Below are 13,117 nucleotides of genomic sequence, written 5' to 3'. Positions count from 1 at the left end.
GGTGAGTGGGTGAATGTATAGATGGATAGAAGGAGGAGGGAGGGATAAAGGATGGAATGATGTGTGAATGGATGCATGGATGTGTGGATGGATGGATGGATGGATGGATGCATGGGTGGGTAGTGGATAGATGGATGGGTGGATATGTGGATGCATGGGTGGATGGGTGGGTGGGTGAATGGATTGATGGACAAAAGAGAGAGGGGAAGGAAGAGATAAAGGAAGGCTTGATGTGTGGGTGGGTGGGTGGGTGGGTGGATGGATGGATGGATGGATGGATGGATGGATGGATTGGTGGGTATATGGATGACTTAATAATCAGATAGTTTGAGCAATGGAAAACTTTGCTCTATGATTCCCACAGCTCTGAATAAATACATGCAGTTTAATGTGGTATGATTTCATGTCAGCATCTAACTTTCATACATTCCACCCTTTTAAAAAGCGGTTTAATAGTGTGGTTGATGCTGAGTCACATCCACTCACAGTGTGCCCAGAGGCCCAGGACAGCTGAGCCTCTCTCTCTAGTAAGCCTGCAATGGGGCTGTGCTCCCTTGAAGCTTGGGCCTCTCCGTCTCCCTGGGTGTGGTTCTAGGGGTGACACCCTCCTGTCAAATGCATTCTGCCTGCCTGCTCTTTATTGCAGTCAGCTGCAGACCATTATGCATCGGGCATCCATATGGCCCAACAGGCTCAGAGCCAGGCATGCTGCTGTCCAGGTCACAGGGTGCTTTCTGTGGGTGCTGTTGGCCCGAAAGCACATGGCCCTCAGCCCCTTCATGAGGCTGGCCCCAGTAGGTGGCCTTTCACTGACCACTGCGAGCCCAGCCTGGTCCCGAGCAGCTCAGAGCACAGAAGGGCATGGGAGTCATGAGAACGTCCAACTTCTGCTACACTTCCCTGCAGAGCCAGGCCCTGATGCTTCACCCACATCCACTCACCCAATCCTCAGGGCAGCACAGTTATCCCGGAGCAGCTCCACCCCTGCCAGCAAACCCTCTGTGCCCCTGTGTCCCCTGCTGTCCCATGGGGATGGGAGTTCCCATCCCATGGCCCTGTCTCAAAGATGGTTATGTACGTGGCTGCTGCACGTGGCAGGTGCTTCATCACTGGTGTTCATTAGGATGCATCATTTGGGTTGCATTTGTTGTAACTTAGACCCACCCTCCAAGGCAGATTGGTTTTCGCTCTATCCTCCACATGAGGAAACTAAGGCTCAGAGAGGTTAAGTGACTTGTTCCAGGTCGCACAGCCAATGAGTTCCCCTGTCACACCCTGCTCCTTCAGATCAGGCTCCTTGGCAGGGAAAGGGGGTGGTTAGGAAAGAGTTGAGTGGCTGGGAGGGATGTGCCCAGGTGGAATGCAGTATGGCCGGGCCTCATGGTGGTGTGCAGGTGAGCGTGCTCCCATCACGTGGCCTGGCCACCAGCCATGACTTTGAAAAGTGACAGCATCTCTCCCGCCTCCATTCTGAGCTTCTCTAACAAGGCCACCACCTGTCTGTGCTTCCCTCCTCCTCCGGGCTGAAATGAGGGCACACATTTCAGGTGGCCGCTGTAGAGGGCCAGGTGGCCTTAATGCCCCTCACCTCTTGCCTCTCCAGGTCAGTGTGGCTTACCTGAGAGGACCCAGGGGCACCTGCCCTAAGGTAGACACTAGGCCATCCAGATGGCTCATACTGAGGAAGGAGCTATGACCTCCACTGCTTGTGGGATCTGTGGACCTGGGGCCTGGGGTCTGTGCACCTCTGTACTGGACCATCAGCCCTGTCATCCAGTGGCTGGGCTTAGACTGGAGGGGCAGCACCCTGGGGTGGTCTCCAAGCACCCGGACACTTGGCACCACAAAAACCCTGGTGGAAGACTCTCACCATGGCCCTCAGACCAGCTGCCCACCAACTCCAGAATACAGACTCAAAAGAGGCGCCCCCACCACTGACATTCCTTCTCATTTCCTCTGCATCCTGCTGGTCTGGGGGGCCCTGGATGCCACTAACCGACAGCCTGACAGTACCCACCCAGGGAGAACTTCTGTCTCCAGCCAGGACACTTGGGAGGTCTGCGATTGACATGGGCTTCATTTTCCTTCGGCTTAAAAATAAGCTAATTTCAGGCCACGTTTGTAAAACCACAGAATTTTGAGAACTACCGCGTTGGCTTAGGTTTTGCTTTGTTGGAGCTTTGCTCTATTCTGTCTGCTTTAAAGATGAAATATTCATGAGATGAGCATTGGCAGATTGAGGAAAAGAGAGCAGGAGCGAAGTCAGGGGTTCTCTGAATCTCTGGGGCGCTGCAAAAAGAACCCCACGCCCACAGATGCTGATGGAGTGGGCGGGGCCAGGGCAGCAGTCATTGAGAAAAGCCGCTGGGGCTGAGAACCACCTGGGCAGTGTTGCTCCAGCTGGATGCCCCAGACCAGCAGCAGCAGCAGCAGCAGCCGGGAACTTGCTAGGAATGCAGAATCCCAGACTCCACCCTGGAATCTGAAGTTCTATGCTTTAAAAAGCCCTCCGGGGCAGCTCAGGTTTGGGGGTATCTGCACAAGGATGGCTGAGGTCAAGGGCCACTCGTGAAGATCTTGCCACTCAACGTGGCCCATGGAGCACAGCATGGGCATGGTCACCTGGGTGCTTGTTAGGAATGCAGGCTCCCAGGCCCCCAGAACCTACTGAATGAGAGCCTGCCTGCTGGCAAGACCCCCAGGGACTGGAACACATGGCAAAGCCGGGGAAGCCCTGCACCTTGGAGTGTTTCAGAGTCTTCTCCAGAATGTGAGGGGAACACTGGTGCACCCGGGATGAGCCAGAGGACCCATAGAGGTGCGTCACTCACTGGACACCCTTCACCATCATCATCATCCCACGCAGACATGGTGCCTCGTTCTGTGGGTCTGGGGAAGGCTGATGTCTCAGCTCAGGCTGCTGAAACAAACACAATCGAGACTGGGGCTCACACACCAGAAATCGATTTTCTCACAGTGCTGGAGAGTGAAAGTCCCAGATCAGGGAGCCTGCCTGGCTCATGGACACCTCCTCGCTATGCCCCCGTGTGGCCAAGGGAGAAAAAGACTGGGACTCTCTTATCTCTCCTAGTAAGGGCACAAATCCCATCATAGGGGCCCCACCATCATGACCTTATCTCACCCCAGTCACCTCCCAAAGGCCCCATCACCAGATACCATCCTGTTAGAGGTTTGGGTTTCAACATTTGAATTTGTGGGGAGGAGACACCATTCAGTCCACAGCAGACGACTTTGTCTCATTTATCCAGAGACCCAGCACACTGATAGAGGAGGGTCCCACGCTCTCCTCCCAGTGGGGCCTCTCCCACCCGACCTGCAGCCTGGAAAGCCGGCACCTCCACCACTGCCCCTGGGCATTGCAGCTCCCTGAGCACATCCTCCAGGGGACCATCACCTCCCTGCATTGAAGCCCTGCAAACATGGCTCTGGACCCGCCTCCTGCTGGCTCTTCTCATCCTCCAGCCTCTGCCCCACAGGTCACTCCTCCCGGGAGCCTTCCTACACTGACTACCACCCTCCAGGTTAATCCCTTCATTTGCTCCTGGGGTACCTGCAGCCTCAGCAACTGCCTTCAGCTGGAAGCCTCCAGGCCACTGCCTAGGCAGGGACAGGTGTGCAATGCTCAGGGGAGCAGCCACCATGGGGCCTTCCCGAGCCGCTCCCTGTGCTGCACACTCCCACAGCACTGTAGGGTAGGGATTCATCGAGTCCCCTCAAGGGTCCTGTCAGGCTGAATGCTGGCCCCACCCATGACCAGTATGCGTCCTAACTTCCAGGTGCTATGAGTCAGACCTTATTTGGAAAATAAAAGCATCTTTGCAAATGTAGTTAAGGATCTTGAGATGAGATCTTAGATTACGATGGCCTCCAAATCCAATGGCAGGTGACCTTAGAAGAGAGGAGGAACAAACGTGGGGAGCAGAAAGTCACATGTCAGCCCAAGAATTGCACGATTTATAAATTTAGAAGGGAGACTATTATAAAGGGTTACAACCTGTGAGCTGGGAATTGGGCCTCTAGCCAAAACCAGAGGCAGGCGCTTCGAGGAGGTGAGGGTGGAACGGGGCTTTATGCTGAATGCATTGGCTAAGGTTATGGCAGGTTAAGCATACTCAGCAGGTTACAGGAGGAGCTGTGAATATTCACAAAGCAGGTCCTGACATGTGCACTGAGCACACATGCGTGTTACATGCGTCCCATGTTCACCTGGGGTGGAGGCTTCACATTTAAAGGCATTACAGTCAGGCTCTGTATGTCAAAAGGTGAAGCAGGAACGTAAAGCCGCTCAGTGAGCAGCCTCTGTAAACCGGCAGAGCCGGTCTCTCATAGTTCTGGAGGCTGGAAGTCTGAAATCAAGGTGTCTGCAGGGTGGGTTCCTTCTGGAAGCTCCGAGGTAGAATCCGTCCCATGCCTCAGTCTTTGGCCAGTGGTTTCTTATCAAGAGAAAGCTACTGAAATCAGCCTCTTATCCAATCACAGTTATAGTTATGGCTGCTGGCATGGGGTCTGTTATCAGCATCTGGTGGAGCTGCAATGGTTTTAATGTTGTCCATCCCAAGGCCGGGGCTTGCTGGCTGCTAGAGGAAGAGAAAAGCACTATGACAGCCAGAACTCGTTTATTTAAGTGTGGGGTGCATGACTTCACCCTTGCCTCACACAGTCTTAGGTCTTGCTTACAATCCAGTCTCTTATTGCCACCAGGAGCCCATTCTATCAGTCTCACAATCTCTCCTTTAGTGTTAACGCCGGCCAGTTGTGGCTAAACCTCAACAGGGAGCAGCATAACAAGACGTGCCCAACCTCCTGTCCCATCATGGTTGGAACTCAGTTTTGCTTTTTTGTTTTTTGTTTTTGAGATGGAGTCTTGCTCTGTAGCCCAGGCTGGAGTGCAGTGGTGCGATCTGGGCTCACTGCAACCTCCGCCTCCCGGGTTCTAGCAACTCTGCCTCAGCCTCCCAAGTAGCTGAAATTACAGGCACCTGCCACCACGCCCGGCTAATTTTTGTATTTTTACTAGTGACGGGGTTTGGCCAGGCTGCTCTTCAACTCCTGACCTCAAGTGATTTGCCTGCCTCAGCCTCCCAAAATGCTGGGATTACAGGTGTGAGCCACTGTGCCCGGCCAGAACTCAGTTTTTTTGTTTTGTTTTGGTTTGGTTTGGTTTGGTTTTGTGATGGAGTCTTGTTCTGTTGCCCAGGCTGGAGTGCAGTGGCGTGATCTCGGCTCACTGCTCACTGCAACCTCTGCCTCCCAGGTTCAAGCAGTTCTCTGTCTTGGCCTCCTGAGTAGCTGGGACTACAGGCACACACCACCACGCCTGGCTAATTTTTGTATTTTTAGTGGAGACAGAGTTTCACCATGTTGGCCAGGAAGGTCTTGATCTCTTGACCTCGTGATCCGCCTGCCTCAGCCTCCCAAAGTGCTGGGATTACAGGCGTGAGCCACCGCGCCCGGCCAGAACTCAGTTTTTAAGGCTTCTGTGGTGTCCCCTTGTTCCAGTCAGTCGGGGGCTTAGGATTTTATTTTTAGTTCTCACATGTGAAGATGGAGGCAGAAGTTGGAGGGATACGGCCACAAGCCAGGGACTGCTGAGGGGTGCCAGCAGCCCCAGAGGCTGGGAGAGAGGCTTGGGGCAGATTCTTCCTCAGAGCCTCTGTTAACTGGGGATCCTTGTTCTTAGAGCTCCCAAGATGATGGCGGGCCACTTGCAAGATGGTGGCAAGCCTCTTGTTCCTTGACCTGGGGTTCTTGGCCTCACAGATTCCAAGGAATGGAATCCTGGGCCATGCAGTCAGTGTTACAGCTCTATTCAGCTCGATTAGGACCAACCCCAGGCACTTAGCTGGCGCAGGAACAATGGCGAGCCTCTAGCCCAATTGGGAGCAGCAATGGGCGCCGCCTCGCTGGATCGGAAGTGCAGGGGACACTCTGCCAGATCCGGAGGGGTGGAAGTCAACGGCGGGTCTGGGATGGCGGTGAACAGCAGTGGTGGATGGCGAGCGAAAGCTCACCTCGAGCCGTAACAAACACGGACCAGAAGAGCGTGCAGTTGCAAGATTTAATAGAGTGAAAACAGAGCTCCCATACAACGGGAGGGGACCCAAAGCGGGTAGCCATTGCCGGCTGGAATGCCTGGGTTTACATCCCGATCATTGTCCCTCCCCCGTGCTTTCAGGCAATAGATGATTGGCTATTTCTTTACCTCCTGTTTTTGCCTAATTAGCATTTTAGTGAGCTCTCTTTACTATCTGATTGGTTGGGTGTCAGCTAAGTTGCAAGCCCCGTGTTTAAAGGTGGATGCGGTCACCTTCCCAGCTGGGCTTAGGGATTCTTAGTCTGCCTAGGAAATCCATCTAGTTCTGTCTCTCACCTCCAGAAGGAGCCCATCCTACAGACACCGTGATCTCAGACTTCCAGCCTCCAGAACTGAGAGAATGAACATCTGTTGTCCAGGCCTCCTGGTCTGGGGTCATTTGTTGTAGCAACCCTGGGACATTCATGCAGGCCTATGGGATGGTGTGTCGGGGGACCCCACCCACACATTCTGGGGTCCTCTGGAAGGACTCGCAGGACTCGATATAGAGTCATCCTGTTGTCTAAGGTTTATAACAGTGCCACAGCTTAGGCGGAGTCTGCAGGCATCCATGAGCAGACTGAAGCCCCCTCCCTCTCTCCTTGAGGGGACACAGCACATTCCCCACCCACTAGGAAAAAATGCAGCCACATGTGTGAAATATTTCTCCCTTGGGAATCCTGTCACGTAGGCACCCTCAGCCTGGCACGTGCCACAATTCCCGACTTCTGGAAGGAAAGCTGGGGTTTTGCTTGCATACACCACAGTGTTGGCTCAACACGCCATGGGAGCTGCTGCCGCAGGGCTGGGTGTCCCGGCCTCTCCATGTAGGGGACATTTCAGCTCCCAGATGCCAGCTAGGGGCCAGCCCTGCGGGCAGGACTTTCTCAGGGCAGCAGCCACAGGCCTGCTATGCTCACTCTTATCTGCATGGGTTGATATGGTTGTTATCCCTTTTTACAGATAAGGAAACCGAGGCTAGAGAGTGTAAGCCCCTTGCTCAAGGTCAGCCAGCTCATAAATGGCAAAGCTGGGTGGGATTCAAACCCAGGAGTCCAGCTCCTAACACTGCTATTAACCTTCCTGCTTCCTGTCTCTCCTGCTCAGGGCAGGGGCTCAGTAGATACTTGTCTACTAAAGGGATGCATGGAGGAATAAAAATAAGAATAGTCACATTTATTAAGCATTTGTTACCTGCCAGCCTTTGACCTTCACACGGCTCCCCTCCATAATCCTTGCCAAACGTCCAATATCATGGAAACTGCTAGTGCTCCATTTTGCAGACGGGGGCGCAAGGACCTGGGGAAGTGGAGTGGTTGGCCCAGGAGGTTTGGAGCCTGGGTCTGAGCCCAGGGTCTGCTCTATGTATCCGTTCTCTTTTGTAACATTCTGTGCTGATCTACATAAGACAAGCTGCAGATCTGTGTAAAGGTGAGCTTAGAGGACACGTTCCCAGAAAGACAAAGCAGCTTACAAAGCAAAATTCCGTATGTCAGAATATGTTCAACGCTGCGTGGCCACTGAGATGATAGGGGTGTGGGGCTGCCTGGTGCCCCAGAGTGTGCAGCCGAGGCCCTGCCCTCAGCAGCTCCAAGCCTCCCCGTCTTCCCCTGCTAGTGGCAGAAAGCAGGGTCCAGTATGATGCCATGGAACCTGCCTGGACCCCAGAGAGGGCAGCAGGGGTTGTGAGACTAGTTAGAGAGGTAGCCACAGCCCCTGCCCACACAGCTGGAGGGAAGGAGCGTGCAGGCGGCGGTGGATTCAAATGCCTGTTCTGGGAGAGGGTGTGCTCTGTGCCAGGCAGCGTGGGGGCTTCACCTGCTAACCTGGGCTCTTCTCCGGTTCACCTCCTGTCTATCCCTAGGCCCAGCACCGTGGCCAGCCCCCAGGATCAGTGAGTGCTCCTGGAACCCTTATTATCCCTGTTTCAGAAAATGTGCCTCTAAGGCTCAGAGAACCCAGGCCAGCATTTGAGCGTTTTCAGGTAAAGGATCTTTCCCATCAGAGCCTGGACATTCAGGAAGGGAGCTTTCCCTGGCTGGAGGGTGGAAGAGAGACCTCCAGCCTGGAGTCTGGAAGGTTCTCTGCCTCGCTCTGGGAACCTGCCTCTGGGGGAGCTGGGGATGTCTCCTGCACCTGCTCGCACGGGGGCTGCAGCTGTCACCCTGAACCCGCTGCGGCCAGTGAGGAAACGAGCTCAGAGCAGCAGAGCCATCTCCGCAAGATCACAGAGGCCTTTGGCCCCAGGACGTCAGTGGGGTCCGGGGCTCGGTGAAGCGGCTAAGTCATAGGCTTGGCTTTCTGCACAGGCACAGCTGGGAGGGCTGGGTATTCAAGAGCTGGGCAACGGAAAGCCATCCTGTAAGATGGAAATAAACTTGTATTTCCAACAATCGGAGGGTGATGCAAAAGTGGCCCTACGATGGCCCCAGCACTGGGAGGCCCCTCCGGAAGCCGCGGCGTTCCAGGAATCTGCTGGCGCGGTGTCTTCCCTCTTGTGGCCTGTCGCTCGCCTGGTAGGAGCGGACTCACTGCCTGGCGTCCCTGCTTGTGGCCACTAGATGGCAGCCGCGGGGTGCGGAGCCGAGGGCGGCCTCCAGGAGTGAGTCCCTTCCGCACGAGAAAGGCCGGTTGCCAGGAGAACCTGCTGGGCCTTGTCCCCAGAATCTCCACTGTGGTCCCACTGCCACCACTGCAGGCCGGGGCCGGGGCTGGGGACGTGCCTGGAAAGCCACTGGCTCTGCCCGGGTGCCCACAGGGCACCAGAGAGGCCAAGAGGTTGGACGCTCACAGGGCAGGGATGGGATGAGGGGCCGGAGTGCACCCCTGCACACAGTTTCTGCAGGAAGCCCCTGGAGGGTGGACACCCACAGGAAGAAGGCTGCCTGCGCGCTGGGCGCAGTGGCTCACACCTGTAATCCCAGCGCTTTGGGAGGCCGAGGCAGGTGGATCACCTGAGGTCAGGAGTTCGAGACCAGCCTGGCCAACATGGTGAAACCCTGTCTCTACTACAAATGCAAAAATTAGCTGAGTGTGGTGGTGGCCACCTGTAATCCCAGTTACTTGGGAGGCCAAGTCAGGAGAATCACTTGAACCTGGGAAGCAGAGGTTGCAGTGAGCCGAGGTCACGCCACTGCACTCCAGCCTGGGCAACAGAGCAAGACTTCATCTCAGAAAAAAAAAAAAAAGATTATGAACAGGGTTTTCATACATAGGAATTGTGCGGGACATTTCGAAGTACTTCTGGGATCTTGCTTTTACTAGTATCGTTACTTATTATTTTGTAATCATAGCCGTTATTATTGCTGTATTAGTATCTTCTTAGGGACCCAGGTGCCTCCCTGTAATCGATGTCTCTCTGCATCTGGGGCCGTGTTAAATCTAGATATTTGAAGCAGCACTTCCCAGCTCTTCGGTTTTGTCAGCATTTCTTGGAAACGTGCTGTCTGGAAGGTGTTCAGCATTGCCCAGACACCTGGACTTTTCATCCTTGTCCTCCCTCTCCTGCCACTGAGGCCCCGCCACTAACTCTTATGGGTCCATGGTATTCAAGTAATGTCAGAGACCATGGGGGCCAGAAAGCTCTTTATTTCCACCTCCTCCTACCGCTGCCTTTGCCAGGCTACTCAGAACCCAAATGTGGAAGGCATGGGCCACAAGTTCCAGGCTGGGCTCTGCTCGAGCTCACCGGGGGGAGGCTGTCACCTATGTAGAATTTCCTCAAAGGCTTTTTCTGCACCAGTTGCTATGATTATCTGTTTTTCTTCATTAGTTTGTTTATATGGTGGCTTACATCAATAAATTTTTCAAATATTGAACCAGCCTTGCACTCCCAGGATAAAGCACACTTGCTCATGATTCCCTTTCTACTAATATATGTCTGGATTTGACTTCCTAATATTTTAAGGATCTGTGTCTATGTTCCTGAGGGATGTTGGTGTATTGATGTCTTATGCTGTCTTTGTCTGGTTTGTGTATCAGAATAATGCTGCCCTTATAAATTAATTTGGGAAGCGTTCCCTCCACTTCTCTTTTCTGGGAGGAATTGTGTAGAGTTGGTGTTGCTGCTTCTTGAAATGATTGGCAAAATTCACCAGCGAAATCACTGGAGTCAAGAAGTCTTTTTCAGATGCTTTTTAAACTACACAATTGTCAGGCGTAGTGGCTCACGCCTGTAATCCCAGCACTTCGGGAGGCCGAGGTGGGTGGATCACTTGAGGTCAGGAGTTCAAGACAAGCCTAGCCAACGTGGTGAAACCCCATCTCTACTAATAATACAAAAATTAGTCAGGCATGGTGGTGCACGCCTGTAATCTTAGCTGCTGAGGAGGCTGAGGCAGGAGACTCACTTGAACCCAGGAGGCAGAGTTTGGAGTGAGCTGAGATTGCACCACTGCACTCCAGCCTGGGTGACTGAGTGAGACTCTGTCTCAAACACACACACACACACTTAATATCTTTAATAGATGTAAGACAATTTATCTCCTTCCTAGGTGAGTTCTGGAAGTTTGCAACTTTTAGAGAATTAGTTTATTTTACCTAAATTGTCAAATTTATCTTAGACTTGGTCACAGTATTCCCTCATTATCTGTTTAAAGTCAGCCCTGTAGTGATATCATCTCTTTTAGTAATTTGTGTCTTCTGTCTTTATTTCTTTGTCAGTCTTACTAAAATTTTTATCAATTTTATTGATCTTTTGAAAGAACTACCTTTGAACTTCATTAAGTTTTCTCCTTTCTCCCTGTGCTTTTAGCTTATTGATTGCTGTCCTTATTTTGTTATTTGCTTCCTTCTCCATGCTTTGAGTTGATTTTGTTCTTTTTCTATTTTTTTGACTCAGGCTGTGGTCTATCTTGGCGAATATTCTGTGGACATTGAAAAGAATGTATATTATGCTCGTTATTGTTGAGTGCGGTGTTCTTTAAATGTCAGTTCGGTCCTTTTGATGGTATTTTTAAGTGTTTATAGCCTTGCTGACTTGTCCTCTGTTGTTGATTGCTGAGAACGTAGGAATGTGGAAATTTTCCAGTATCATCGTGTGGCTGTCCATTTTGTTTTTTTTTGTTTGTTTTTTGTTTTTTTTTTTTTAACAGTTCTGTTGGTTTCTGCCTCATGTTTGTTTTGTTGTTTGTTTGTTTTGTTTTGTTTTGAGACAGAATCTCACTCTGTTACCCAGGTTGGAGTGCAGTGGCATGATCTTGGCTCACTGCAACCTCCATCTCCTGGGTTCAAGCGATTCTCCTGCCTCAGCCTCTCAAGTAGCTGGGATTACAGGTACCTGCCACCACACCCAGCTAATTTTATATTTTTAGTATAGACAGGGTTTCACCATATTAGCCAGGCTGGTCTCAAACTCCTGACCTCACGTGATCTGCCTGCCTCGGCCCCGCAAGGTACTGAGATTACAAGTGTGAGCCACTGCACCTGGCCTGCTTCATGTATTTTGAAGTTCCAATGTTAGGTTGTAGGTTTATGCTGGCATTAGGTATTATTATACTGGTTAGGTTATTCACGACTGGCGTGTCTTCTTGGTGAATTGATTTTTTTTTTTTTTTTGAGACGGAGTCTCGCTCTGTCACCCAGGCTGGAGTGCAGTGGCGCGATTTCGGCTCACTGCAAGCTCCGCCTCCCGGGTTCACGCCATTCTCCTGCCTCAGCCTCCCGAGTAGCTGGGACTACAGGCGCCCGCCACTTCGCCCGGCTAACTTTTTGTATTTTTAGTAGAGACGGGCTTTCACCGTGGTCTCGATCTCCTGACCTTGTGATCCGTCTGCCTCGGCCTCCCAAAGTGCTGGGATTACAGGCGTGAGCCACCGCGCCCGGCCGAATTGATTTTTTTTAATCATTATTCAATGTTCCTATTTATCCCTGGCAATTTTCCTTGCACTTGAGACTACTTTGATATTAATATAGCCACTCTGGCTTTCTTCTTATTAGTGTGTGTATGTCTTTTTCTATCCCTTTGTTTTTAACCTCCCTATGTTGTTATATGTAAATTTGAGTCCTTATAGACTGCATGTCATTGGTTAGTTTTCTGAAAGTCCATCTGATTGGGAGGCCAAGGGGGGAGGGATTGCTTGAGGCCAGGAGTTCAAAACCAGCCTGGATAAGAAAGTGAGATCACATCTCTACAAAAAAATAATAAAGAAGTCAACTTTTTAAATAAAAAAATAAAACTCCATCTGGTAATCTATTTTATTTGATGTGTTTAGAGCATTTAAATTTAATGTTATTATTAATGTGTTAGTATTTATATCTACCATTTTATTTCTTATTTTCTATTTGTTTCCTTTGCACGTTATTCTCTATTTTTCTTTCCCGATAATTTTTGGATTATTATTTGACTTGTTACTTTTCCATTTTAATTTAATTTTGGAGGCTTTAAAACAATTATATAGCTTTTTTTTTTATTAAAGCAATTAGTCTGTGATTTCAATACACATATGTAGCTTTTCCCAGTTTACTTAATGCTTTACCACTGCAAGTAGAACATGGAAACCTTACCACCATATAGATCGCTTTATTCTCTCCCTTTTTTGGTGTAGCTATCACGTGTATTAAACCCACATATATTGAAACTACTATCATAAAATATAATAATTTTTACTTCAACCATCGTATTTTCAAGAATGTAAGAAGTGAAGTATAGTCTATTAAAAGATATTGACCATTTTGTCTGTACTTCTTTATTCCTGACTTTCAAAGGCTCTCTGGTATCATATCCATTCCATTCCAAGCATTATCTTTGGCATTCCTCTTAAAGTTGACCTGCTGGCCACAAATGTTCTTGGTTTTGCTTCATCTAAAAATGTCTTGATTTAACCTTTATTCCTGAAGGATATTTTCACTGGGTATAGAATCCTGCATTTGCAGTATTTTAAAAATACTGTTCCACTTCCTTCTGACCTCCATAGTTCTGATGAGGAATCTGCAGTAATTCCTGTGGTTTTTCTTCTGTATGAAATATGTCATTTTTCTCTAGCTGCTTTCAGTATATATTTTTTCGTTTTTAGTCTTCAGCAA

At 50.5% G+C, this 13,117-nt stretch overlaps 1 protein-coding gene across 23 annotated transcripts in view, besides 1 other annotated feature; it reads left to right on the top strand.

Moving 5' to 3' along the window:
- Positions 1 to 13,117, top strand: part of SHANK2 (SH3 and multiple ankyrin repeat domains 2) — a 785,381-nt gene that overhangs the window by 488,879 nt on the left and 283,385 nt on the right. The window lies entirely within an intron of this gene.
- Positions 8,361 to 8,410: an enhancer, noted in NCBI's record as "active region_5164". NCBI's record gives its function as "activates an Ori minimal core promoter by ATAC-STARR-seq in GM12878 lymphoblastoid cells {active_cell/tissue: GM12878}" and the evidence as "EXISTENCE:reporter gene assay evidence [ECO:0000049][PMID:35858748]".

This window comes from Homo sapiens, chromosome 11, assembly GCF_000001405.40.
Source record: "Homo sapiens chromosome 11, GRCh38.p14 Primary Assembly".
NCBI lineage: Eukaryota > Metazoa > Chordata > Mammalia > Primates > Hominidae > Homo > Homo sapiens.
This window is presented reverse-complemented; position numbering and strand designations above follow the sequence as displayed.